This window comes from Homo sapiens, chromosome 17 (assembly GCF_000001405.40).
Source record: "Homo sapiens chromosome 17, GRCh38.p14 Primary Assembly".
Lineage (NCBI taxonomy): Eukaryota > Metazoa > Chordata > Mammalia > Primates > Hominidae > Homo > Homo sapiens.
Window position 1 is genome coordinate 73,346,387 of NC_000017.11, and position 27,250 is coordinate 73,373,636.

At 54.6% G+C, this 27,250-nt stretch overlaps 1 protein-coding gene across 4 annotated transcripts in view, besides 7 other annotated features; it reads right to left on the reverse strand.

The window, feature by feature from the left end:
• Positions 1 to 27,250, reverse strand: part of SDK2 (sidekick cell adhesion molecule 2) — a 310,062-nt gene that overhangs the window by 12,003 nt on the left and 270,809 nt on the right. For all 4 annotated transcript variants that reach the window (XM_047436313.1, XM_011524914.3, XM_011524915.3 and 1 more), the window contains 8 exons: positions 22,021 to 22,207; positions 18,872 to 19,009; positions 15,298 to 15,459; positions 11,693 to 11,818; positions 6,087 to 6,251; positions 4,264 to 4,404; positions 3,851 to 3,989; positions 2,213 to 2,339 (listed from right to left, as the gene is read on the reverse strand). In XM_047436313.1, the coding sequence (XP_047292269.1) occupies positions 2,213 to 2,339; positions 3,851 to 3,989; positions 4,264 to 4,404; positions 6,087 to 6,251; positions 11,693 to 11,818; positions 15,298 to 15,459; positions 18,872 to 19,009; positions 22,021 to 22,207 (1,185 nt within the window). The remainder of the gene's footprint in view (positions 1 to 2,212; positions 2,340 to 3,850; positions 3,990 to 4,263; positions 4,405 to 6,086; positions 6,252 to 11,692; positions 11,819 to 15,297; positions 15,460 to 18,871; positions 19,010 to 22,020; positions 22,208 to 27,250) is intronic.
• Positions 936 to 1,785: an enhancer, noted in NCBI's record as "H3K27ac-H3K4me1 hESC enhancer chr17:71343461-71344310 (GRCh37/hg19 assembly coordinates)". NCBI's record gives its function as "activates a minimal SCP1, AML or CMV promoter by ChIP-STARR-seq in primed H9 embryonic stem cells {active_cell/tissue: H9 hESC(primed)}" and the evidence as "EXISTENCE:reporter gene assay evidence [ECO:0000049][PMID:30033119]".
• Positions 5,572 to 6,073: an enhancer, noted in NCBI's record as "H3K4me1 hESC enhancer chr17:71348097-71348598 (GRCh37/hg19 assembly coordinates)". NCBI's record gives its function as "activates a minimal SCP1, AML or CMV promoter by ChIP-STARR-seq in naive H9 embryonic stem cells {active_cell/tissue: H9 hESC(naive)}" and the evidence as "EXISTENCE:reporter gene assay evidence [ECO:0000049][PMID:30033119]".
• Positions 6,074 to 6,573: an enhancer, noted in NCBI's record as "H3K4me1 hESC enhancer chr17:71348599-71349098 (GRCh37/hg19 assembly coordinates)". NCBI's record gives its function as "activates a minimal SCP1, AML or CMV promoter by ChIP-STARR-seq in naive H9 embryonic stem cells {active_cell/tissue: H9 hESC(naive)}" and the evidence as "EXISTENCE:reporter gene assay evidence [ECO:0000049][PMID:30033119]".
• Positions 9,744 to 10,038: a silencer, noted in NCBI's record as "tiled region #1327; K562 Repressive non-DNase unmatched - State 21:Repr". NCBI's record gives its function as "represses a minimal TATA promoter and a strong SV40 promoter by Sharpr-MPRA in K562 cells {active_cell/tissue: K562}" and the evidence as "EXISTENCE:reporter gene assay evidence [ECO:0000049][PMID:27701403]".
• Positions 14,672 to 15,343: an enhancer, noted in NCBI's record as "H3K27ac-H3K4me1 hESC enhancer chr17:71357197-71357868 (GRCh37/hg19 assembly coordinates)". NCBI's record gives its function as "activates a minimal SCP1, AML or CMV promoter by ChIP-STARR-seq in primed H9 embryonic stem cells {active_cell/tissue: H9 hESC(primed)}" and the evidence as "EXISTENCE:reporter gene assay evidence [ECO:0000049][PMID:30033119]".
• Positions 17,161 to 18,136: an enhancer, noted in NCBI's record as "H3K4me1 hESC enhancer chr17:71359686-71360661 (GRCh37/hg19 assembly coordinates)". NCBI's record gives its function as "activates a minimal SCP1, AML or CMV promoter by ChIP-STARR-seq in primed H9 embryonic stem cells {active_cell/tissue: H9 hESC(primed)}" and the evidence as "EXISTENCE:reporter gene assay evidence [ECO:0000049][PMID:30033119]".
• Positions 18,601 to 19,103: an enhancer, noted in NCBI's record as "H3K27ac-H3K4me1 hESC enhancer chr17:71361126-71361628 (GRCh37/hg19 assembly coordinates)". NCBI's record gives its function as "activates a minimal SCP1, AML or CMV promoter by ChIP-STARR-seq in primed H9 embryonic stem cells {active_cell/tissue: H9 hESC(primed)}" and the evidence as "EXISTENCE:reporter gene assay evidence [ECO:0000049][PMID:30033119]".

Genomic DNA, 27,250 nt, shown 5'->3' on the forward strand with positions numbered 1-27,250 from the left:
CTTGTGTGCTAAGTATATACATTTTTTTTTTTTGTACAAAACTTGGGCTCTTCTTTTGAAAATGAAGTTGCCGTCCAGCCAGGCTGCAGTGTTAAAGTTCCATCAAACAGGCCTTTAAATCTCCAGTCTTTGTGTGCATCCTGCCCTCTGCCTGGTGCCCCCTTCTCCTGCACCCTGGGCCCTCTACGGGAGAGCCAGCCCCTCTCTCCTCTAGCCCATCACCCCCAGCTGAATTATAGCCTTTCTCACATCACATCATATGTGTTTGTTTATAAGTCAAACTGACGCTTTGTTTATTGCCATATCACAGGAAAACGACTGGGCAGATTTCTGCCAATTTTGGAGAGTGGGTTTTGGGTGGTCTGTCTCAGAATATAAACCAGGTGGCGTATGCAAAACCCACTCTCCAAAGACCTGGGGGAAGGGGTGTCCTTGAAAAGAGAGGCAGTCATTTTTCCTGGCGGCTGAAACCGAGGGGCCCTGGCCTGTGCAGCTGCTGATCCTCAGGGACGTACCCTTGCACAAACTGTCACAGGCAGGAGAACTACCAGTGGCATCCCCATCAGCCCCCACTTGAAGGTCGCAATGGTGGGGGCTCCGCATTGCAGATGCTGATTGGTAGCCGAGCTGCTTCTCACGTGGCTGAGTGGCAGCAGCACTGACTTATTTAGGAGCCTCATAAGGACCACAGTGGGGCCAGCACAGTGGTTCACACCTGTAATCCCAGCACTTTGGGAGGCTGAGGCGGGGGAACACTTGAGGTCAGGCATTTGAGACCAGCCTGGCCAACATAGTGAAACCCCATCTCTACTAAAATACAAAAATTAGTGAGGGGTGGTGGCACATGCCTGTAATCCCAGCTACTCTGGAGGCTGAGGCACGAGAATCACTTGAACCCAGGAGGCAGAGGTCTCAGTAAGTGGAGATTGCGCCACTGCACTCCAGAGCAAGACCCTGGCTTAACAACAAAAAAACTCATAACTTGGATCACGTGGGTTTTGTCCCCCACAATAAGTTCCTGGGTAAGCCATGCTAAGTTGGGGGTCTCTGTCCCTGCCAGCTTTGAGCTAGGGAGTTAGGTCCAGCCTTCTCAGCTCTGCCAAGCCCATCAGTAACCCTGGAGCTGAACAAAACAGCAGTGAGTGGGAGGCCCTCAGCCCACGGGGCCCACAGCGTGATCCCAGGCTTCCTGGCACCTCCTGCACAGCCAGCAGCCCAGCTCCCTGCTGGCACCTCTTCCTTCACTTCCTCTCCCAGGCCTGGGCAGAAAGGTCCAGGGCGTGGGATGCAGTGGCCTTTCGTGGCCCTTTCCTCAATAACCACTGGGCTTGGCTGAGGCAGAGGGTGAGGGTGGGAAGCTGTAAGGCTGCATGGTTGGAATACACACAGCCCCTTCCCCACACAGCCTGGGACAGTGTCCCCACGTGACCCACCTAATGGCCGCTCTCTGAAGCTCTGTGTCTTCCAGAGGCACCGACCCCCTCTTCATATAAAAGCTGACATTTACGGAATGGTTGCCGTGTGCCTGGCTCTACACTGAGTTCACCAGTGTCTAACTCAGCAGATCCTCCCCACAGCCTCGGACAGAGCCTAGTATCACCCCTGCCTGTTCCACAGATGGGGAAACTGAGGCTTAGAAAGGTTACTTGGCACACCCAGGACATCCCAGGTCACGAGCAGCAAAGCTAGGATTCACACTCAGGTCCAAACCTCCAAAGCTTAATGTCTCCCTGGTCTACACTGCTTCTCATCCTCAGGGCTCCAGGGCACCCAGCCCTTTGTTTCTGAAGCTGTTTTGATGCGTGAGTAGTGAAGCTGAGCATTTTTCCAGGTCTCTGGCCTGGAATGCAGGGCTGTGTGTCAACCTTCTCCCCAGAGTCTCCCTCTCCGCACCTTCAGCGTGCTCTCTTGCAGGACAGCCCTAATGAGTAACTAAGCCTGTGGGGTGACCCCTGAACGTAGAGAGGGCCGTCTTCTTCGGGGTACCCCCTATGATCAAGGTTCCCGGGACCCCATTGGCACTGGCCGCAAACTTTGAGCAGAACTTGGGAGGGGACAGATGGCCCATATATGACTTCAGGGTGGTTTCTTGGGCCCCTTAATATTTGCTGCCCCTTGAAGGAAAGGAAGAAAGCCCATCTACGTTCACTGCCCCACTCTGGGAGGCGCTGCTCCCTGCCCCCTGCAGGACACCTGGCCCTCCTGCCCTCACCTGAGAGTCGGAGATTTCTGAGGGCTTCTCCGTCAGGCTGCTGCTCTCTGCAGGGATGAGGTCGTTGTATTTGGTGACATCCTCATCCGAGTAGTGCAGGCTGCCTGGGCTGGGCCTGGGGGGAGACCTGGAGAGAGCGGGGGAGTGGGGCCGAGAGGTGCACTCACTCAGAGCGGCCTCCCCTGGCCTAGGGAGACCACAGTGGGGGCCTGGGGAACACGGATCCCTGCCACCCTGTGCTCCTCCTCCTTCCTGGGTCTGCCTTCCAGGGGCCCGGGCCTGGGAGGTAGGAATCTGGAGGAGGACAAAGAGGGAAAAATGGGGTGCCCGGCTAATGCTGTCATGGCAACATGCAGGGTGAATGTAGGGGGGATGTCACCGTGGCTGGGTTCAGGACCCCACATCCTGGGGCTGCTTTGGTGCAAACGGGATTTTTGTGTACACACAGTGGCTTTGGGGGCACACAGGGGCCTGGATGTGTGTGCACTGTGGGTAGGAGAGGCTGGGAAGGGCAGGGGAAGGTGAGGCCACGTGTGAAATGCCCCCTTGTTACATGTAGTAGGGCCCCGGAGCCAGCCTGGCGGGGCTGCTATGGCCATGCTGGGCCTGGCTGGGCCTGCTGTGGGGGCCTCAAACAGCTCTTTCTTTGGAAGGCTGGATTTGGCAGAGGATAAGAGCTCGGCTTTGGGAGCTCCTCCCTCCATCCTCTAGATGAACACACACATAGCTTCGTCCCTCTAAGACAGAGACAGAGGGAAGCTTTGTGAGCTCCTGAGAGAGGCTGGACTCCTCCTGACTGCCGCCTCCAATGAGCTGGGAATGCCAATAGGGCTGAGGCTGGAGACAGGAGCCCTCTGGCCCAGTCTTTCTTGAGCTCAGGGGAACAGAAAACCGCCACACATCAGGGGAGGGTCAGGTGGGCCCCAGCAGCTGCTCCTGCCCTTGGAAATGGGCAGCCCGATGGCCACAGGGAGTAGGGCCTAGGAGGGGGCTGGGGTTAGAAAGAAGTCAGAAGAAAATAGGAGCTGTGCTTGCACCACGAGCCTTGTCCTGTCCTCATGGGCTGCTTTCAGATGCTGCCCTTTGAGGCTGATGGGGATAGGAGGTTGTCCTTTAATAGGTATAAATAAGGACCTGGGGGAGAGGGTTTCCCAAATGGGGAGGAAGACAGGAGGGCATAGCGATAATGCGGGTGCTCAGGCGTCCTTCGCTAAGGTGTTTTTGCTCGGTCTGCGTTGGCTGGGCCTGTCTTGCCTTTGGGGCCAGTGACGATCTGCAGGGCTGTTTCCCTGGCAGTTGGCTCCGAACATCAGTAGGTTGGTTTGAAAAATTTTGCCAGTTATTTGCATTCTACTGTCACTGTCAGGAACTCTTAGTAGCTACCTCCTTGTAAATTTCTCCCCAGTGCGCCCTCACCCCCAGGCTGTGATTGGGCATGGTGGGGACTGGGACCCTAGTTGTCCTGCTTGGGCCCCACTGTGTCTTTCTGCTGATCGTTCCCAGCCCTGGGGCTTGAATGGTGTTTCCCAGGACAAGGTATGGCCAGGTGGGCACTCCCTGCTCTATGGCCTTCCCCAGCATTCTCCCCACCTGGGCACTGCTGGGCCTGGCCCCCAACCCACGCAGAGGGCCCAGTACCTGGTGTACAGGCCGTTCTTTCGGCAGAAAGAGTTCTTGACGGAGAGCCGCCTGTTGTTGAGTTCCAGGGCAGGGAAGCTGCTTTCATCCAAGCTCATCATCTCGCTGTGGCCTAGGGCTCCAGACTTGGCACTGTTCCCTGAAGTCGGCGGGAGATTGACACCCTTTAGACTGTGTGGCCTCCCCTCTCCCATACCACTCTCCACCTGGCTGGGTTATCCCCTCTTTCTCTTGGTAGAGTTGAGACCAAAATAAGAGATTGAGATTGTGTGTAGAAACCCTAGGCTGCCCCACCCACCAGAGCAGGTGCGCTGCCAGGAGCCAGGAGAGGGACCTGATCACCCCTGTTCTGGCCAAAAAGGAGATACATAAAACTCAAGTCCAGCCAGCATGGCTGGTGCCAGCTCACTCACCCGAGTCTGTCTTCTTGGCGTACTTCTTGCTCTGGCCCCGGATGATGAGCACGAAGACCAGAAGCAGGATGAAGATGAGGCCGACCAGGGCAATGACCACCAAGAACCACCACTCCTCATAGAAGGGGTTGGCTTTCTGGGCTGGAGCACAGATAGTCAGGTATATAGGGTGCTCAGCCCCCTCCTCCCTCCAAATCTCCTGCTCCAGTTGGGACCCTACTAACTGCTACAATCTATGGGAAGGCAGGGTCTGTACCCTCCGAATGAGGCAGAACCTCTGTAAGGACAGTTTCACCTCAAGTATCCGCTCTGATCAGTCGGTAAAGGGCTGCCTGGAGGGCTGATGTCAGATGAGTTCTGAGATGGCTACCTGGCTCAATAGGAAAGAGTGCTAAGATTGATTAGTGATGTCTGCCAGGGACATAGGAGGGGAGAGTGGCAGTGTGTTAGCTACTTTTTCCCCTTTTTTTTTTTTTTGAGACGGAGTTTCACTCTTATTTCCCAGGCTGGAGTGCAATGGCATGATCTTGACTCACTGCAACCTCCACTTCCCGGGTTCAAGCAATTCTCCTGCCTCAGCCTTCCAAGTAACTGGGATTACAGGTACCTGCCACCACACCCGGCTAATCTTTGTATTTTTAGTAGACACGGGGTTTCACCATGTTGGCCAGGCTGGTCTCTAACTCCTGACCTCAGGTGATCCACCTGCCTCGGCCTCCCAAAGTGTTGGGATTACAGACGTGAGCCACCGTTCCCGGCCCCTTTTCTTTTTTTCTTTTGTACTTGTCTAGGAGCTATCTTGATAAGCATACCTAAATCTGTGTGGGGAAAGGTGCTTCTCTGGCCTGCAGGAGGATGAGAGAGCTTTTCCTGAGGTTTAGTTTGGAGTGAAATTTTTGCTGGTAGCAGAAGGCAGGGGGAATTGGGAGGATGGACACAGGGGTTCTTTAGTAAAAGGTGAAAGATTTACACGATCTGAAGAAAAACCAGAGTGTGGTGAGAGGGTCTTTAGGATGTCTCTTCCAGGTAGAGCTCCCTTTTCTCAAAACCCCTAGACTGTGCTTTCTGCACCCAGCCAGGACTACCCATGCTGTGTGGACAAGAGATGGGCTCTCTGTTTCGGCCTTGAAGCACTTCTGTCCCAGGATTTGGTTTTATCAATGTGGGTAAAGGAGAAGATTTGGTTCTTCAATGTGGGCAATGTGTGGCAGGGGGAGGAGGCTGGGTTCCTTTGAGTTGTGCTTCTGCTTGGGGGAAGGGGCCTTTGTATTCTGGGTGGTTAGTGATAACATTTTGGGTCAAGGGTTTAGATAGCAGAGCCCTTTGTGCGCTCCAAGACATGCCAGATAGGAAGAATGAGGGGAGGAAAATGGGAGGGGTGGTGACCCTGCTGCACCCAGGCACTAGGTCAGGCCTAAGGCCCACCTGTGTCTCTGCTGCTCTGCAGGCTGCTGACCCTGCCACGTTGGGGCTGGAGGTTTCCATGGAAAGATAGTTTATGGCCTGGTGCCCATGAATGTCCTGGGTGATGAGTGCATGGAAGTTTGCATCTTGGGCCCTCTGCTCTGCCCCTACCCAGGGCTTCTGGAGTTCCTTGAAAGGGAGCCCCAAAGATGAAGATCCCTAGTTTCCTCTGGTCTTGAGGGCTGACCCAGGCCTGGGCACCAGCACTTGCCTCTTCACAGCCCCGAGGGGACAATGTGTTTTTGTTCCCGCCCCATGCTCCTGGTGCCCTGGTGCCTCTCCTCCTTCCGCCCTGCCCAGTGTCAGCCCCCAGGCTCTGCTGTGGGGCTCCCCCACTCCCTCAGCCCCCAGGCCGGTACCTGGCACAGACTGGGAGGGGCTGCTGGGGGTGCCGAAACCATAGTCGTTGACCGCGATGACCCGGAAGTCATAGCTCACGCCCGGCTTCAGGATGTCCATGCTGAACGTGTAGGAGCTCACCTCCTTGGGGATGTCTTTGATGAGGATGTCCCATAGTCCCTCGTCTGCAGGAGCACAGAGATGGAGGCCCTGGGAGGTGAGGGGAAGCCCCAAATCCCGCTCCCAGCCCCGTTCTGACTATGCTCCCTGAGGGCTGGGCCTGTTGGATCCTCCCTGCTCCACACTGAATCGCAGGCCTTGGTCCTCCCTTGAAGTTTCTTAAAAAGACAACTTTCGGGCCAAGCACGGTGGCTCATGCCTGTAATTCCAGCACTTTGAGAGGCCGAGGTGGGTGGATCACCTGAGGTTAGGAGTTCGAGACCAGCCTAGCCAACATGGTGAAACCCTGTCTCTACTAAAAATACAAAAATTAGTCTGGTGTGGTGGCACATGCCTGTAATCCCAGCTACTGGGGAAGCTGAGGCAGGGAATTGCTTGAAGCTGGGAGATGGAAGTTGCAGTGAGCTGAGATCACGCCACTGCATTCTGGCCTGGGCAGCAGAGCAAGACTCAGTCTCAAAAAAAAAAGACACCTTTTGGAGCATCTCTTTTATTCTTTTTATTAAAATATCTGTACTACATTAAAAGATACGTACTGTGCAGAAAGTACTGTCACAACCAATGACAGAACCACCGTCCAGAGAAACAGGCTCAAGGAATTAGCACTTGTGCAAGCAGAACACTATGGATTCTGTCTTCCACTTCATTAAAAATGGTTGGAAACATGATTTTAAGTGACTGCCTAAGACATTATCATATGGGAATACCCTTCTTTACTTAACTAACCCCCTTTCCTAATTCAAAACATACACAATGGTGGCAGGAGACAAAAATAAGAGCGCTATTTTTCTTTTTTCTTTGTTTCGAGACAGAGTTTCGCTCTTGTTGCCCAGGCTGGAGTGCAATGGCAGGATCTCGGCTCACAGCAACCTCTGCCTCCCGAGTTCAAGCGATTCTCCTGCCTCAGCTTTCCAAATCCACCATGCCTGACTAATTTTGTATTTTTAGTAGAGACGGGGTTTCTCCATGTTGGTCAGGCTGGTCTCGAACTCTCGACCTCAGGTGATCTGCCTACCTCAGCCTCCCAAAGTGCTGGGATTACAGGTGTGAGCCACTGTGCCTGGCCAATTTTTTTTTTTTTTTTTTTTTGAGATGGAGTCTCACTCTGTCATCCAGGCTGGAGTGCAGTGGTGCCATCTCAGCTTACCACAACCTCCGCCTCCCAGGTTCAAGCTATTTTCCTACCTCAGCCTCCCGGATAGCTGGGATTACAGGCTTACTCCACCACGCCCAGCTAAATTTTGTATTTTTTAGTAGAGACAGGGTTTCATCATGTTGGCCAGGCTGGTCTTGAACTCCTGACCTCAGGTGATCTGCCTGCCTTGGCCTCCCAAAGAGGATTACACGTGTGAGCCACCATGCCCGGTCTTTTTCTTTTCTTTTTAGTAACAGCTGCAGGAAAGATTTGGTTTTAAAAAAATTGTTTTGAGATAGGGTCTCGCTCGGTTGCCAAGGCTAGAGTGCAGTGGTGTGCTCTTGGCTCACTGCAGCCTCAACCTCCTGGGCTCAAGCGATCCTCACATCTCAGCCTCTCAAAGTGCTGGGATTACAGGTGTGAGCCACCGCGCTCAGCCAACAGGAAAAATTTGGGTTTCCTGTCTGTTCTCCACCCTGTGCTGGCGTCAGCCACCTCTGTCCTTTGCACCTGAGCTTCCCTCAGATCCCCTTCCCCTCTTTATCCGTGGCTCTCTGGGCCTTGCCCTCGTGGGACATAATTCACCTTCATGCTGTTCAGTCAGAGCGGTGCGGGTGCTGCCTGGGTCAGGGACGAGGCAAGCCCCTGACATAGCCTTGGGGCATCCATCATGTTGGTGGGAAGGCCAGGAGGGGCCCTGGCTGCATGCTCTGGGTGGGGCTGATGGGGTCAGCCTGGCCCTGAGAGAGGGTGCGTCTTCCTGCTGGTGGCAGTGCGGGGCTGATTTGGAAACTGAGGTATCCAAGCCACCCTGGGCCTAGCCAGACCCCTCTTCACAGTAGAAGGACGTCAGTGAGGCCAGCTCGCAGGTCCTCTCTGTCTGGCCTGCTCCAGGGAGGTCACCCAGTGGCCAACAGTGGGTCTTCCAGGCCGCTGCCACCAGGGACTAAAAGGCCTTAACTTCCCCTAGCCTGCCCCAACCAAGCACCTCCAGTCTCTCACATGCAGGGCCCGTTCTTCTCGCCGTTCTGCTTCTGCACCCTCTGGTTGAAGCTGCTCTCCCGCCAGAGGTGTGCCCAGTTCAAGGCCGCCCTTCCCCAGGGCTGATGGTTTTGTTTTCCTCACCATACTTTCTCATAGACCCAGCCGTGTAAGTCGAGCACTGCAGCAGAGGCGCCTCGACACCCTGGCGTCCTGTCTGAATTTTGGACCCAGTGGTGGGAACTGCTGAGGGGGCTGTCTCCCCACTTCCAGTGTGGATCCTTCCAATTTGGGGAAGGCCATGGGGACCCAGTCTACATCAGAGCTGTCCTTGCAGAAGGCTCCGGGGTCCCGAACCTCGGCCTCACTGTTGGTCTTACTTGTTTTTGAGCCTCTGCCTCCTACACCTCCATATATATATATATATTTTTTTTTTTTTTTTTTTTTAGACGGAGTCTCACTCTGTCGCCCAGGCTGGAGTGTGATGGCATGATCTCAGCTCACTGCAACCTCCGCCTCCCATTCAAGAGATTCTCCTCCTACCTCAGCCTCTTGAGTAGCTGGGATTATAGGCACCCGCCACCACGCCCGGCTAACTTATTTATTTATTTATTTAGAGACAGAGTCTCACTCTGTCACCCAGGCTGGAGTGCCGTGACACGATCTTGGCTCACTGCAACCTCCGGCTTCCGGGTTCTCCTGCCTTAGCCTCCGGAGTAGCTGGGATTACAGGCACACGCCACCAAGCCCAGCTATTTTATTTTTTATTTTTTATTTTTAGCAGAGATGGGGTTTCACCATATTGGCGAGGATGGTCTCGATCTCCTGACCTCGTGATCCGCCTGCCTTGGACTCCCAAAGTGCTGGGATTACAGGCGTGAGCCACCGTGCCTGACCCATCTTTTTGTTTAATATCTCTCTTTCTCTCTTTCCCCTTTGCTGGCTGTGAAATCCCTCAAGGGCAAGGATCATGACTAATTCGTCTTAAGTCATCCTTAGTCCAGCACCCAGCACAGGCACCTTCTCAGCATTTATTGAATAAATAAATGGAACCTTTCCTCCCTGGCCTTTTCATAGCATTAGCTGCCCAGTTTCGGAACTTCATGCCTTGAAATTTTAGTACTGGGGTACAAATCCATTTTCCTCACATGCCTCTGAATTCTCTCACTCATCTTTGAATGATATCATAATGATGATGATGACGGTGACAACAGCTGGCACTTACGCCTCTGTCAAGCATCCTGGGTCTACGTGCTTTCCTTTTCAAATCCACAGCAATGGCGAGAGGGATGAACTACTGTCCCCATTTTACAGATGAGGACACCAAGGCCTGGAGGAAGCTTCACTCATCTTCCCAAGGTCCTACGCTGTCAGCAGCAGAGCTGGTGTTACTGCCTGGGGCCACCTCATTTCTGGCACCGAACTTCCCTGCCCAACGCAGTCAGGTGTTGGACCTGTGTTTGCTGGATGGGCTGGGATCATTGAGGCCCCTGCTGCTGCCTTCCAGAAGCTGGGATCTCCTGCCTGCTGTTTAACCCCCCTTGTTCCACCCCACACAGGGACAAAGGGTGGGGCTGAGTCAACCGGGCCAGGCCAGAAGCTGCTGGAATGTCACGCTGGGGCTCTAGCCGCCAGCCCCGGGAGTTGGCTGATGTGCAGGACGGGTTCCTGGGGCTGCAAATCCCTGGGCGAACCTCTCCCTGGGTCTGCAGCGCCTGGCAGCTCCTGGCTTATAGAAAGGGGGTGTATTTAGTTTATCCTGCCTAGCACGAAGCACAAGCAATTCAAGGGCAAATGTATGACAAGGGCTATGCCATCCTGAAGATGAGAAGGGGAGCACAGAAGAAGGGGCAGGGGGCATGGAGGGGAGAGATGCTCACCCCATAACAGCAGCCTGCTCTCAAACAGCCTTAGGGACAGACCACCATGCCCCTTGCCCCCTCTCCTCCCTCCTCCCTGTGCCTGGTTACTGATCCTGTCCTCTGCTCTCTGGCCCTGGCCCTGCTCCGAGTCCTGGTTTCTCACAGGGCCCTGGCTTGGTCCTTCCTTTTATGCTCAGGTCTTGATTCCACCAGTGTGGACCAAGTCACAGCCCACAAACTTGGAACACCAGAGTCCCACGCTGGGCCTCCCAGGAAACACTGAGAATCAACAGAGCCAGAGTCAGGGGCCAACATTCCACAGCCTGGCACCCCAACTGGCCAACTTGGGTGGAATAAACAGGTGCAGGCCCTGGTTGGGAGAAGCACGTAGTGGTCTCCTGGCCAACTCAGCAGCCGGCACCAGAGGGCCAGGGAGGGACCATCTGGAGTGGGGAGAGAGCCAGCCCCGCATGCATCCTCCGGCCACACAGCAGATCTGAGCAGCTAGATGTATTCGCTATATGCAACTGCGATTATTAGCATGTGATTAAGGCAGGAGCGGTGGTAATGTCTTCCAGGAGCTACTAGAATTATTAACTCTCTGCTATTGGGATGATTAGTGCCCAGCTACCTCGAAGTATTAACAATTCATCACTGGGATGTTTCCATATTCCCCATTAGAAGTACTAGCTACCGAGATGCCTGGTGGCGTCCCATTATGATTGTTATTTGCTATTTGGGCTAGAGCAACAAAATCTTGTTTTCCTTCTCAATTTTAATCACCTAACCGCGGATCCATGGGATACAGAGAACAGGCCTCCTGCTCTTGCTGACTCTGGCACCTCTGATTAACTTGGAAACCTAGCAACGCAGGGAGCTGGCAGTGGCTGCAAGCTCCTGAGAGTAAGCAGAGCCCAGCAAGCGGGTGTCAGGATGGGTGAAACCGGAGCAGTGGGGAGCAGCCCCCCGACTGACTTATCTGTCACTCATCTCCTGATGGCTTTGGAAGTTCTTGTGATTCAATTTCAGGCTTGACAGGAGAGGCTGGTACGATTATAGCAGCCACTGAGACAGCCATGATGGCAGAGACAGGGCTTCGAGAGGCAGCCAGGGTCTTCTTAGTTATGGGGCACCCATCAGTGGGGTCGTGTGGAGGATTCGGTGTGTGACCCACGTGAGCCACGTGCTCAGGCTTCCGGCTTCCTGAGCAATCCTCAACCCAAGCTGGTCCTCAGTTAGCACTAACAGCCGTTCTCTGGGGGCCTCCTGGGGGTTACTTAGCTAGGAGTCCAGCTCTAGGAGCCCCCCAACCCAGTTTCCCACTCCTCAACAGGGCCAGGTGACTTCACCTGTAGTAGCACAAGCGCCTTCTCAGGCGGAGGACAGAGGCAAGTGCCCCAAGTGGAGGGACCCAGGAAGAAGGGAGATAATGAGCTGTGGGGTCTCAGCCCAGCAGGGCGGGGCGCACCTGAAGGTCTGGCCTCGATGACGTAGCGGGTGATGGGCCCTTTGCCCGGGTCTCCGCTGGACCAGTGAATGGCGATGGCAGAGCTGTACCGCACGATGATGGGCACGCCAGGCGGTCCTGGGGCACCTGCAGACAGCACACAGAGGCGAGGGATGTATGGAACCCAGAACAGCCACCCAGCCCGTCACCCTGGGCTCGAGGAGGAACACTGGGTGACAAAACCAACCCTGGACAGAGAGCCGCCAGGAAGCCCTGCAAATGTCGCGGCCTGAGAGTACATCTCAGGCTGGGCCTGCCAGGATGGACTGTTGTCCCCCTGGGCTACCCCTATGCTCCATATTCCAAATCCCAGGGCAGAAGACAAATGGAATGGTCCAGAAAGGTCCCTGGAGTAGAGCCAGGAGACCTGGGTTCCAGCCCAGAACGTGTTAGATGGGTGATTTTGATCAATTCACATAGCCTTCCAGTGCCTCCGTTTCCCCCTCTATAAGGGCCTTTTGGAAGGTAAGGCTTGAAGGCTGTGTCCTGGATGGTGGGGAATAGAGGTGGGTGCGATGATGGCAGAGTGGGCCCATGAGAGGAGGGGGTTGGTCGGAGCGGGGCTGAAGAGTCCAGTTTCTCCCTCCTGGTAGGTGATATGATGTCCGCCCTCCCTCATTCCTGCCTAAAATCCCCCAACCCCAACTGCATTTCCTATTAGGTTAGACAAGGGGAGAGGGGGTTTATGCCCCAGGAGGCCTTGGGGCCTGTGCTGCTAGGAGGAGGGAGGAAGGACTGGGCCCCATGCCGCGCTCCTGGAATGAAGGTACGTCAGGAGCAGCCTGGGATGTGGGCCAGTGAGGGAGCCGGCCCTAGGAGCTGGAGCAGATGAGAGGAGGTGACTCCAGCAATGAGAGGAGTGAGCCAGGTATCTGTCTGCAAGGGGCTCTGAGCCCCTTCTCTTGGGGGTGCCCGTCCAGAATCCCGACCCCACATGCTGTCACCTCCAATCCTGCTCCCCACCAAAGGTGGGGCTCTGTACCCCCAGAGCTGGGTACACAGTAGGTGCTTCCTCTGTGCTTAGGGGATGAGGGAGGGAACCAGTGCATGAGTGGGTGGCCACCTGGTTTGTTGGTGGGGGGTCTCTGTGGAGCAGAGTCTAGCATCACACTGATGCTCCCCCAGGGCCCTGGAGGGCCAGCAGGCCCTCCTTACACAGCCTGGCAACCCCACCCGGCCACTATGCCCACCCCATCGCTCACACAGCCTGGCAGCCCCGCCTGGCCCCTATGCCCACCCCACAGCATTGGAGGGCACCATTTCCTTCCTTCCCTATGGAGCAGCCTGTCTGCAGCACAAGGGCAGAGTAACTGCGGGGTCAGGTGGGGTGGACACGCCTGAGGGAGTATGGTAGGGCAGGCAGCCCTCAGGACCCTGTACTCATCCTGCACAGGACAGTACTCAGGGCTGAGGACAGAGCCTGCACCTTCTCCGGGGCCAGGAGCTTCCAGCGAGTCCAGCCACTGCCTGGCTGCATGTTCCCCGCCTGCAGACCGCCCCCTGCACCCACACCATGTGGGAGGATGGCTTCTTTATTTCTTTTTTTGAGACACGTTCTCACTCTGTTGCCCAGGCGGGAGTGCAGGGGCACGATCACAGCTCACTGCAGCCTCCACCTCCTGGGCTCAAACGATTCTCCCACGACAGCCTCCTGAGTAGCTGGGACTTCAGGTATTCACCAGTATGCCTGGATAATTTTATTTTTGTAGAGATGGGGTTTTGCTGTATTGCCCAGGCTGGTCTTGAACTCCTGGGCTCAGGCAATCCACCCGCCTCCACCTCCCAAAATGTTGGGATTACAGGCGTGAACCCCCACACCCGGCTGGTTCTTTCTTTCTCAGAGTGCCCTCCACTACCTTCTCTGAACCCTCTGCCCTTTATCTCCTCCCACCTCCCCACCTCTCAGCCTGGGACACTTCAAGCCTCAGGATAGAACAGCCTGTCCTCCGCACAGCCCTCTCCTGTCCCCAGGCCACTGCCAACGCTTGGTCCTCAGTTGCTTGCCAGCTCTCTCTCCTACTTTTGTTTCCCAGGAAGCTGGCTCAGGTGAGAGGCAGCGCGGGGCGGGGCTGGAGGCAGATGAAAGGACAGCGGCTGGGTGGCTCCTGGGCTGCCTCCTGCAGGCTTTGTCCTGAGTTTGCCCTAGAGCTACAGGGCTTCTTTGCAGAACCAGACTGTGGGGAATAGAAAGTGACTGGCCAGAAAGAAAAAGTGAAGCGCAGCCAGACTAAGCCATTAGGGGAAGACTCTCTTCCTGAGTCAGGCTAATTGGGACTGCTGGGGAGGGGAGGCCTGCGCCATTCTTGGCTGAAGGGGGTGGGCAGAGGAGGAGATGGGATTTTAGGGGAAGTCCAGGATGGGCTGTACCCCTTCTTAGGGAGGGAGGCAGCAGAGTGGTCTGGGAGGTGACTTTTGTGTTCAGGACAGGACATTCTACACTGACCAGTAACAGGGACTTTGGAGGGCTAAACCTTGACCATGGCAAATGCCTGGGGGGATGAGGGGTGGGAGGGGAAGGGAGGTGAAGAGGACATTTAAAGGAGGCGATTGGGCACAGTGGCTCATGCCTGTAATCCCAGCACTTTGGGAGACTGCAGCAGGTGGATCACTTGAGGTCAGGAGTTGGAGACCAGCCTGGCCAAACCCTGTCTCTACTAAAAATACAAAAATTAGCTGGTCGTGGTAGAAATCACCTGTAATCCCAGCTACTTGGGAGGCTGAAGCTTGAGAATTGCTTGAACCCGGGAGGTGGAGGTTGCAGTGAACTGAGATTGCACCACTGCACTCCAGCCTGGATGACAGAGCGAGACTCTGTCTCCAGAAAAAAAAAAAAAAAGCCCAAACAACAACAACAGAAACAATACAGGAGATTAAGGAAGACTTCCTGGGGTGAGGGGCGGGCAGTTACACACAAAAGGGCGTTCTGCGGAGGGGGTGGGTGGTGAGGTGGGGGAGGCAGGGCCCTGGCTGTGAATAGGTGACCTGCTCCATCAGGTGTTTCTCAAGGTGCCACTTTGTCACGGCCTCCAGGGGCTTTTGTCTAAGTGCAGACTGCCAGGTCCCACCTCAGCCCCAGGAAATCAACCCCTCGGAGCATCCACCCTGGGAACGTGCATTTTAGTGCGCCCTGCTCTGAGAACCGCTGCCTGGAGGGTAGGGGTGGTTCAGGGGCGTGGGAAGATGGCTCTGGCTGGGCGAAAGGCAGGGGCACCTGCCAGGCTGCATCCTTCCAGGACGGAAGTAAAGGAGGCCATGCAATTAGCAGGGAGAGAAAGAACGAAGCAGGCGCAGTGGCCAGGCCAGGCCTGTGGGCTGGGCCTAAGTGGGAGAGGAGGGGGCGCTGCTCCAGGGTTTGTGGCTTGAGGAACCTGAGGACACATTAATCAAAGCGTGGAGCCCGGGAGGAGGGAGCGGGGGGAGGGGTCACTGGGCACCAGGGGAAAGAGTGAGCTCTGTCCTCCACTCTGTTTCCAGGGTCCAGCACAGCTCTTGACACCGGGGGCCCCTTCTGACTGGGGACGCTGAACCGCCGTGTGGAAGACATGCCTGGTCCGTTGCTCTCCTACCTTCTCCGGGGCCCGTGGTGACGTTGGCTTCGATCTCCGGCCCGTAGGTGAAGGTCTTGGCTCTGATGCGGAACCTGTAGGTCACCCCCTCCGCCAGGTCCTTCACCTTCAGCCACAGGGGGCTGTTCCCCTTCACGTCCACGGTCACGATCTTGCTGACTCCTGGGGGAGGCACAGCAAGTGGGGACTGGGCACAGGGCCCACCGAGGGCACTGGAGGCCATGGGGAAGGGGAAGCGGCCGTGGCCTGGGCCCCGGGACCCTGGGTAGGGGCCTCACTCCTTGAGGTCAGGCTGAAATGCACCCCCAGCCCACACAACCACATTGCCCATGCTGTGTTTCTCACAGCACGGTCCTGCCTGCTGTTCTCAGGGAGAACGGCTCCATGGTTCAGTATGTTTGGGAAAAGCTACTACTGTCTGTGTCTACTGAGTAGCCACAGGGTCCATCATCAGCATCTACAGAAAAGAGAACACTCGCCATCCTGTTTAATGTAACCTCTGCACCCCAAATATGTTTCGGCTCCATTGCTATTCCCTTATGCAGCATCCCATGGGACTAGAATTATATCCTTTTTCAGGAAGTGCTTCCATAAAAATACCAAAAGCCCAGAGTTGCGGGGACACACTTTTGACCAGGTCCTCCACCTGAGCCCCACTCCAGCTCCACCTCTGGGGTTCAGCCAGGAGCTCACATGGCCCTCCAGCACCTATATCTGCCACAATTTTTTTTTTTTTTTTAAGACAAGGTCTTGCTCTGTTGCTCAGGCACAATCATGGCTCACTGTAGCCTCGACCTCCTGGGTTCAAGCCGTCCTGCCACTTTCAGCCTTCCAAGTAGCTAAGACTGTAGGTGTGCACCATCATGCCTGGCTAATTTTTAAATTTTTGTAGAGACAGGGTCTCATTATGTTGCCCAGGCTGGTCGCGAACTCCTGGCCTCAAGTGATCCTCCCACCTTGGCCTCTCAAAGTGCTGGGATTATAGGCATGAACCACTATGCCCAGTCCACCAAGCTTTTTAGGGCAAAAGTGAGGATGCCTCAGCACCCCAAATCACAGCAACTAGAGGGGACGCTTGAGCCAGCTTTCAGGAGGTGGGGGTTTGCACTCTGTGCTTCGCGAATCCAAATACTCCTGACTGCCAGCCTCCCTGGGAGCCGGGGTTAGTGTCATTTCCCATGTCCATCGAGCACGCCAGTCACCAGTGAAAGACAGGCCTTGCAGCCAATAGGCTGGGCTCAGACCCAGTGATGGCGCCGGCCCCGGCATGTCCCTTAACTTGGCTTCAGTTTGTTCTGCCGAGTGAGGGTGTCCACAGCATCTTAGGCAGGGATGCTATGAGCTTTAAGTAAAATAACAGAGCATGTAGGTGCCTGACCTATTTATTGACTAAGTGGATTACTAATATTATCGTTTTGAGGTGGATTTTCACTATTGTTGCCCAGGCTGGAGTGCAATGGCGCGATCTCAGCTCACTGAAACCTCCGCCTCCTGGGTTCAAGCGATTCTCCTGCCTCAGCCTCCCGAGTAGGCGTCCACTACCACACCCAGCTAATTTTGTATTTTTAGTAGAGACAGGATTTTGCCACGTTGGTCAGGCTGGTCTCGAACTCCTGAACTCAGGTGATCCACCGCCTCGGCCTCCCGAAGTGCTGGGATTGCAGGTGTGAGCCACTGCACCCGGCCGCTAAGTGGATTACTAAATGATGGAACAATGTAGGCTCAGAGGGGCTTCCTGAAAGAATGAAATGACCCTGGGACCAGGAACAGGGACTCTGGCTACCTGCTCCTTGACAATTCTGAACAAAGCCCTCATCTGCCTGGACCTTGGTTTTCCCTACAGGACAGTGGGGGCTGCTGGGCTTTTGTGAGGCTGGTTTGCTATTGACCTGAACCCAGGATGAACTGGGGTGTGGACACTGGGCTGTCCAGGCGGGGCCTTGTCTTGCTGTACTTATTAACTGAACTATTATGGGAAGATGGGAATGTGTAGGGGTGTGGAGTTGAGCCACACAGTCCAGATCCCACCAGACTGTGGAATTGGAAGGCAAAGAGCTCACATCCTCAAGTTGAGAGGGTCCTGGACAGGCCAGGTTGAGGCCCCTGTGAAGAGGGCTTGTGCTGGCCCCCTGTACCTTGTCTCGGGGACTGCTGTCCTCTGCCCCACTCCGGCCCTGCACCTGACTGGATCTCCTGCTGGGGCCTGGCTCCCCCCTGGTGTTCTAACACACAGCTCCCCTTTGCAGAACGAGCTGCTGGCACCCAGGTGGTAGCAGGGAAGACTGAGGGCCATTGTTCCCTAGGCTCACCGAGAACTGCTGGTCACAACGATGTTCCCAGGTCTCTGCCCCTTGTTCTTGCCAGGCTCCGTGATTGGAGGGGGTGAGAGTGAGAGGGGTGGCTCCAGAGGTCAGCCACACCCCCAGCACCTGGCTGGGACTAGTCCCAGGCAGTGAGGAACGCAGTTTCCTTCCTGCCTAAATCCCATCCTCATAGGATGGTTGTTCATAACAAAATGGCAGGGATTTCTTGGCATGTTACCAGGGGTAGAAAGCTGGCAGGTACCAGATGCCCATTGTCAGGGGCTGCGCAGCCCAGCCTAGGAGCCCAGAAATGGGCAGGTTCCCAGCTGGGGCCCGGAGGAAGGGGTCAGAAGACCAGTCAGATGAACAGGGTTAAGGACAAGAGCGAGGTCATTTGCAGAGCAGGGCTCTTGATCTGGGGTCCGCAGATAGCAGTGGGGGGTGCAGGGACCTCCTTGGTCTTGTGTATCTTCCTGGGGAGAGGCTCTGAAGCTTTGGTCAGATTCTCATCAGATTCTCCAAGGGGTTCCTGACTCCCACCAAAGCTAAAGAAGGACTAACCCACAGTAAAGCTGAGAACCCTAAGGTTTGGGAAAGGGCAAAGTAGGACCCTCAGGGGCTCCCCTCTTCTTTTTCTTTTCTTTTTTCCTTTTGAGATGGAATCTAGCTCTGTCGCCCAGGCTGGAGTGCAGTGGCGTGATCCCGGCTTACTGCAACCTCTGCCTGCCGGGTTCAAGCGATTCTCCTGCCTCAGCTTCCCGAGTAGCTGAGACTACAGGTACCCACCACCACACCCGGCTAATTTTTGTATTTTCAGTAGAGACGGGGTTTCACCATGTTGGCCAGGCTGGTCTTGGAACTCCTGACCTCAGGTGATCCACCCGCCTCAGCCTCCCAAAGTGCTGTCATTACAGGCGTGAGCCACCGTCCTTGGCTGCCCCCCTTCTTTATGGTCTCAACAGAGCCCTGTCCACTCAGGTTTCCCTTCCTTTCCTCCCTGTTTCCGTTGACCAAAGGGGGAAGAATATATTTAACGATTCTCTGCCTGGAAGTTAGGAGACCTGGATCTCTCTTCCAACTCTGCCCTCAACTTGCTGTTGTTTTACCTTGGAAATGCACTTTCCCTTGTCTGGGACTCAGTTTCCGTGTTTATAAGATGGGGAGACTCTCACCGAATCTCACTCATGTGTAGTGGCTGTGATGGGCGCTGAGATGAGAGCGAGCTTTTGCAAAGTGGGGGGCTGGGGAGCTGTGCTGGGGGGTCCACTCACCATCCACGGGGCTGCAGGGCTCGTACACCAGCCTGTAGCCCTCCAGGATGCCATTGGGGAACTGCGGGGCTTCCCAGGACACATTCACTGAGGTTGTGGTCAGCTCACTGAACTTGACCGAGCTGGGAGCGCTGGGGGCTGCGGGAGACAGCAAAGGGTTTTTGTTTCCTTCTTCTGTGGAAGTTCAAAGCCTCGGGTTCAGCTCCAAGGAGCTAGCGGGAGTATTGGGTCTGAGCCCGGGAGGAACAAGAGCGTGGGGCTCGGCAGAAAGGGCGGGCAGGAGGGGTCACTGGAGGCCATCAGGCCCCCTTCCTCTCCTCTCTCAACTTTCCAGTATCAGAGTCCTAAGAACTGGGAAGAAAGAGAACTCGATTTTTCCCTCAAGTTGCAGAATTCAGGCTTCTCCCTGCTAAGTGGCTCTGAGCCCGGGCTATGAGTGTGGGACAAGCTGTCACACCCCCGGGGTCATCGTGGGGCAAGGCCATTTCCTGGCTTTGCGGGGTTCGTCTTTTGGCTTTCGTGGAGAAGGTGGGGGTGTCTGGGCCTCAGAATATTCGGTAGGCGCTAAACAAAGAAGACACCAGAACCACAGCAGACGGAGATGGCCTTCCTCTCCTCCTGGGGCTCCAGGGCTTGTCACAGAGGCCCCACGCAGTCAGGGGGAGCCACGCCAAGGACAGTCAGACCCTCTGGGAGAAATGTTTTCTCGGACCAAGAACCCTGTGGCAACCCCAAAATCATGGGGGTGGGGGCTCCCCTGATGGGGAGGACAGAGGAAGGGCAGGAAGCGTCCCAATCTGCGGCATCCCCAGCTGGCCCAGGGAGGATGACCAGGCTATTATTGTCCGGCGCTGCCTCCCCACCACGCTGGAGCTAATCCGGACCTGCTTCCGGCTCCAGCCCCAGGAGGCAGAGTCAGCGAGTGTCTTTGAAGGAGGGAGGTGAGCTCAGGGGGCCCTTCCTGCCTCCCCTGTGCTACAGGGACGTGGGACAGAACATGTTGTCCTGCTGCCGCAGTGACGGAAGCCTCGGGTTCCCTGGGGTTCGCATCTGGCAGATGGCACTGACAAAAGAGTGGCCGGGACAGGAGGCGGACGGACAGACTTGTATATTCAGCAGCTCACGCTCATTCTGGCCACCGTCAGACCCTGGGGGTAGTGGAGGGAAAGGGTTCCCTGGAGCCAGGGCTTGTCCCCAGAGAGGGTCATAATGAGGAACTGATGCCACAGGTGTGCCCTCTGCAGCTCTTTAAAAGCCACATGTCACTGACAGCATAGGAAGCAGCAGGTTGAACAAGATGCTCAAGGGAGGCCGGGGCAAAAGGCCAGTATTCCAGTCCACGAGGACAGAACACTTGGTTCTCTCAGAAATCCTGGGTTCCAGCCTCTGCTGCCCCAGTGACCAGCTGGGCAACCCTGGACAAGTAGTATAACTTCCTGGGTGACCCCGGCTCATCGTGAGATGAGGGTGCTGCCTGCCCTGCCTGTCCACGGGGCTTCTGGGAGGGTTAAGTGTGACAGTGCCTGACTACCAGGCTCGCTCTGCACACAGGCAGCAGGATTCTCACCAGCGCCCTCTCCTCTGCACCCGCCACCCTTCAGCCTCCCGATCTCCCCTCCCTGCCTCTACTCTCTCCCCTCCACCAGGCCATCTTCTGCACAGCAGCCGGAGCACTTTTCTCTAAATGTAAACCAGACCCTGTTGCTCAACTGCTCAAGCCCTCCCATGGCTTCCCAGCATACTTTTTAAATTTTTTTATTTTTTAAGACAGATTATTGCTCTGTCACCCAGGCTGGAGTGCAGTGGTACAATCTCAGCTCACTGCAACCTCCACCTCCCAGGTTCAAGCGATTCTCCTGCCTCAGCCTCCTGAGTAGCTGGGATTGGAGAAGGGTGCACCACCATGCCCAGCTAATTTTTGTAGTTTTTTAAGTACAGATAGGGTTTCATCATGTTGGCCAGGCTGGTCTTGAACTCCTGACCTCAAATGATCCACCCACCTCGGCCTCCCAAAGTGCTGGGATTACAGGTGTGAGATACCATGTGTGGTCCATTGTACTTATAATTAATCCCAATCCCAATCCCCCAGCCTGAGCTCTCGCCCCATTTTCCTGCAAGCCACCTGGCTTTCTCTGCGTTCCCGGGTTCCTCTCCAGCCCCTAGGCCTTAGCACCTGCGGTTCCCTCTGCCTGGAGCCCCCAGCACCCTCTGCCACCTCCTGAGAGCATCTCATGGCTGGCCTCTTGTCTTTTTTTTTTTTGGGACAGAGTCTTACTCTGTCACCCAGGCTAGAGTGCAGCAGTAGCACAATCTCGGCTCACTGCAACCTCCACCTCCCGGGTTCAAGTGATTCTCCTGCCTCAGCCTCCCAAGTAGCTGGGATTACAGGCACGTACCACCATGCCTGGATAATTTTTTATATTTTTAGTAGAGACAGGGTGTCACCATGTTGGCCAGGCTGGTCTTAAACTCCTGACCTCAGGTGATCCACCTGCCTTGGCTTCCCAAAGTGCTGGGATTACAGGCGTGAGCCACCATGCCTGGCCCCTGCCGGCCTCTTCTCATTCAAATCTCACCTCCTCAGGGAGGGCTTTGTGGGTGAGCCTATCCAGAGCCATCCACCCACTCCTGCCTCACTCTTAGGTCACCTGTGCTGACCCCCGTCTGCATTTACTTCATCAACTTGCTTATGATCTGTCCCCCGCACTAGGGTGGGGACCTTGCTGGTCTCACTGTTGTGTCCCTAGCATCTAGCATGGCACGGGCTCATAAGACACTCAGTATTTGTGGAATGAACAAAGCCAGAGAGACAGAGGGAAGGCAGGTGGGAAGAAGGCAGGGAGCAGAAGTAGGCTGGCTGGGAGGGGCTGGGGGTGCTGACTGTCCGTCTGCAAGGCGGGGCAAACGGTGGGGAGGACAGGGATGAGGTGTGGGGGTTTCTCAAGGCTTTATGGGGACAGCTTCTCTTTTCTGAGAATGGGCTCTCCCACTTGGGAGGGTGTCTCTGGGGACCTGGGTACCACGACCAGATCCTCAGGCGGATAAGGCAGCTGCCCCCATGCCTGCCAAGAGCCCGGATGCCAGGTAGGTCCTCTTGCAACCCCCCGTGGCCGACCTACCCCTCCCCTCCTCAGGGCCCCCTCTCCCACCTGCTTGCTGGGTCTGGCCTTGGGTGGGGGTGCTCCGAGGCCCATCCCCAGCGGCGTTGAAGGCGGCCACGCTGACCATGTAGGCCGTGTAGCCAGTCAAGTTCTTGAGCTTCACGCTGTTCTCAGCCAGGAAAAGCGTCTTCACTCGCTCTGTGAGGTTCCCCCGCTGGGCTTCCCAGAAATAAATCTGTGGGAACAGAAGGATGTGGGAGTGAGGGGGACAGGGGCAATGAGAGTCCCTCCTGTCCCTGCTGACCTGTAGTCTCAGAGACACCTTCATTGCTGTGAGTCACCTGGGAAACAGCGGAGAAGTCTTTAAGAGGCCGGGTGCGGTGGCTCACACCTGTAATCCCAGCACTTTGGGAGGCAGAGGTGGGTGGATCACTTGAGGCCAGGAGTTCAAGACTAGCCTGGCCAACATGGTGAATCCCCGTTTCTACTGGAAATACAAAAAAATCAGCCGGGCATGGTGGCAAGTGCCTGTAGTCCCAGCTACTCTGGAGGCTGAGGCAGGAAAATCACTTGAACCTGGGAGGTGGAGGTTGCAGTGAGCTGAGATCACGCCACTGTACTCCAGCCTGGGTGACAGAGCAAGACTCCATCTCAAAAAAAAAAAAAAAGAATTTAAGAACTGTTTTAGAAACCTTTCTGGAACCTTCCTTTTCACAGCCAAGACCCTGGTCTCTGCCAGACAGTAAACTCCAGGGCATGGCCCCCAAGTGTCTGTGTTTCCCGCCATGCCTGGAGGATTTACCATAGCGCTGGCACATCAGCACTTAGTACAGTTCCTGGAGGAATAAAGCAAATCCGTCCTACGGGAGGCTGAGCTGGGGAGATAAGGCAGTGTGGAGTCTATCCAGACAGAGTGTGGTGCAAGTGCTGGTGGCCTCATGTCACCTGGGAGCTGGTGAGGGATGCAGAGTCTCAGGGCCACCCCGGGCCCGCTGCACCAGCAGCTGCTGGTTAACAGGAACAAGGCCCGCTGCAGAGGAAGGCCTCGGCCAAGACGGCGGGCAGCGGGAGGCTGAATCCCAGCTGCACCGCATACAGCAGCGGGACCTGGCCAGCTGACTTCCCAGAGCTGCAGTTTTGTCGTACATTCAGTGAGGTTAAGGACACGTACTTCCTGGGGTCCGTGTGAGGGGTGCAGGTTCTAAGGGTTTCACCCAGGTACTTGGCCAGTTTCCTAAGGAACCCCGTGGCTGCAGAAGGCTTTAGGCCAGGAACACAACAGATGCTCCCTGGTGTTTTCTCTTCCTTTCTGTTTTTTGAGATGGAGTCTCGCACTGTCACACAGGCTGGAGTGCTGTGGTGCGATCTTGCTCCGCCTCACGGGTTCACGCCATTCTCCTGCCTCAGCCTCCCGAGTAGCTGGGACACAGGCACCCGCCACCACGCCCGGCTAATTTTTGGATTTTTAGTAGAGACGGGATTTCACCGTGTTAGCCAGGATGGTCTAGATCTCCTGACCTTGTGATCCGCCCGCCTCGGCCTCCCAAAGTGCTGGGGTTACAGGCGCGAACCACCAAGCCCAGCCATTGTTTTCAATCATTTCCTCTGTAGCACAGGTTAACACTTCTGCTAGTTCCAGGACTGAGGCCATCCAGATAGCGGCCAGCTGGGCCCAGCCACGTGCAAAATTGGAGGTCATTTGGCGCCCCCTGCTGGCCAATGAGGTTTCTGCATGTCACCGGCTTTTCAATTTCTCATTTCCCTGGAGGAAGCCCATAAAGTGAGAAAGAGCTAATAAAAGTGTCCCCACTGGCATGTATGGGTGGCAGTTAGGACATCTTGTTACCATGAAATCCTTGCTTTTCTCCAATCCCTCTCCCCCTTTATTATTATTTTTTTATTTGAGACAGGCCTCACTCTGTTGCCCAGGCTGGAGTGCAGTGGCACGATCACAGCTCACTGCAGCCTCAACCACCTGGGCTCAAGCCATCCTCCCACCTCAGCCTCCTGAGTGGCCAGGACTACAGGTGTGCACCACCACACCCAGCTAAGTTTTTAATTTTTTGTAGAGACGGGGTCTTGCCATGTTTCCCAGGCTGGTCTTGAACTCCTGGGCTCAAGCGATCCAACCACCTTGGCTTCCCAAAGTGCTGAGATTACAGGTGTGAGCCACTGTGCCCGGCCCTCTCTCCCATTTTATTTTATTTTATTTTATTTCAAGACAGGGTCTCATTTTGTCACGCAGACTGGGGTGCAGTGGCATGATCTTGGCTCACTGTAACCTTGACCTCCAGGTTCAAGCAATCCTCCCGCCTCAGCCCCCCAGGTAGCTCTGACTACATGAGTGCTACCACACCTGGCTATTTCTTTCGTAGAGATGGGGATTTCTTTTGTAGTGATTTCTTTTTTAGAAAGGGGGAGAGGGCCGGGTGCAGCGGCTCACACCTGTAATCCTAGCACTTGGGAAGCTGAGAGAGGGGAATCGCCTGTGCCCATGAGTTCAAGACCAGCCTGGGCAACATGGCAAGACCCCTGTCTCTACTAAAAACACAAAAATTAGCCAGGAGTGGTGGTGTGCACCTGCAGTTCCAGCTACTTGGGAGGCTGAGGCAGGAGGATGGCTGGAACCCGGGAGGTGAAGGTTGCAGTGAGCTGAGATCACACCACTGCACTCCAGCCTGGGCAACAGAACAAGACTCCATCTCTAAAATAACATAAAAATAACGAAAAGCAGATTCTTCTCATATGGATAGATGAATGAAAGCAGAGGCAGTCATGTATGAAATCATTCATTCACTCATGCATTCATACTAATGGGGGTACAACAGTTAACAAAGTTCCTGTTGGATTTGGAAAGGTCATGGCTGATGCTAAAAGTTTGCCATTATTAGCACACAGGTGGTCTTCCGTGAGTGCACACTGGGAGAATGAATGGATTCTCTTAGGTAGAGAAGAGGGCTGTGGATTGATCCCTGGGGGCCTCCAGCATTCAGTGGTTGGTGGGGAGGAAGAGCTAGCGAGGGAAGCTGAGGAAAGCAAGCATTTTGAGAGGAAGGAGAGATCCATGTGTCAAACACAGCTGCTGAGTCAGGCAGGATAAGCCTGTGGTTTGACTCGATATGAGCAACATGGGAATTATTAACAACTTTGGCAGGAAGAGCTTCGGTGGGGTGGCGGGGATGAGAACCTATTTGGAGCGAGTTCAAGGGAGAAAGAGAGCAGAGGAATCGGAGGGAGTGAGTACAGAAGATTCTTTTGAGGAATTCTGCTGTAAAGGGGCCAAAGAAATGGGTGACAACTGGAAGAAAATGTGAGGTCAGGCCAGGTGCGGTGGCTCACACCTGTAATCCCAGCACTTTGGAAGGCTGAGGCAGGTGGATCACCTGAGGTCAGGAGTTTGAGACCAGCCTGGCCAACATGGCGAAACTCTATCTCTACTAAAAATACAAAAATTAGCCGGGCATGGTGGCGGATGCCTGTAATCCCAGCTACTCAGGAGGCTGAGGCAGGAGAATCACTTGAACCCGAGAGGTGGAGGCTGCAGTGAGCTGAGATAGCACCACTGCACTCCAGCCTGGGCAACGGAGCGAGAGTCCGTTAAAAAAAAAAAAAAGTGAGGTCAGGAAAAGGCATAAAAAGAGGAAACATATCTCAGAATGCTTTTCTGCCCTGCCCGTGGGAGCTATCCACTGGGGAGGTGGAGGAGAGGAAGGGCCAATGGCTGCAGTCATGCTCTTGGGTGAGGAGTGGGTCGGGGCCTAGAACCCAGGGACAGCTGTCTTCACAAACCAGGCACTCCGGCAGGTGCATCTTGTTTGTGAGCGCTGCATTCTGCGGACCTTTGTTAGCTGATGATTCACAGTGAGAGGGACTGACACGCGTGCAAAGGACATAAAGGGACTGAGCCCAGATCCTGGTTCCCATGGGGCACACTGCTGAGCTGCATGGGGCACATTGATGGGTAACCAGGAGTCTGCCAGAATGCAGGCTCCAGCGGGCAGGCATCTCGGTCCATGTGGCCCCCTTGGGACCCAAACACCTAGAATCATGGCTGGCACATCCATGGTCCTCAATCAATATCTGCTGGATGAATAAATGCCTTATGTGGACAGGGGCAAGCATGGGAGTGCACCATTATAATCACGAACCTGCCATTTACTATGCCCAATTCTCTGCCCTTTCATTTCTTTTTTCAGCTTTATTGAGGTATAATTGACAATCTAAGATCTATATATAGCCGGGCATGGTGGTGGGTGCCTGTAATCCCAGCTACTCGGGAGGCTGAGACAGGACAATCCCTTGAACCTAGGAGGCAGAGGTTGCAGTGAGTGGAGATCACACCACTGCACTCCAGCCTGGGTGACAGAGTGAGACTCTGTCTCGAAAAAAACAAACAAACAAAAAAATCAAAAAACAAAAAAACCCCAAAAAACTGTATGTGTTTAAGGTATACAACATGGTGTTCTGATATACACATGCATTATGAAATGATTACCACAATCAAGCTAATTAACATGTTCATCATCTTTTTGTGGTGAGAACCTTCTGAGCAAATTTCAAGTGTACAATACGGTATCATTAACTATCATCACCATGTTGTACATTAGATCTAGATCGTATTCAGCCTGCTTCACCGAAACGCTGTATCCTGGGACCTTCTCCCTATTTCCCTCACTCCCTCAGCCTCTGGCAACCGCTGTTCTACTCTCTGTTCCTATGAGTTTGATTATTTTAGATTCCACATATACGCGAGGTCATGCAGTATTTGTCTTTCTGTGCTTGGTACATTTCATTTGGCATAATATCCTGCAGGTTCATCCGTGTTGTTGCAAACAGCAGGATTTCCTTCAAGGCTGGATGGTATTCCACTGTGTATAAACCACATTTTCTTCATTCATTCATCCATTCACAGACACTCAGGCTATTTCCACATCTTGGCTACTGTGAATGATGCTGAAATTAACATGGGCCTGCAGATAGCTCTTCAAGAGCCTCATTTCAATTCCTTTGGATAAATACCCAGTAGTGGGATTGCTGGATCATTGGAGTTCTATTTTTAATTTTCTGCGGAACTTCCATACCGTTATCCATAATGGCTGTACTGATATACGTTCCCACCAACAGCGTGCAAAGGTTCCCTTTTCCCCATACGCTTACCACCACTTATCTCTAGACTTTTTGATAACAGCCATCCTTGCAGGTGTGATGGGATATCTCACTGTGGTTTTGATTTGCATTTCCCTGATGCTGAGCGATGTTGAACACCTTCTTAGATACC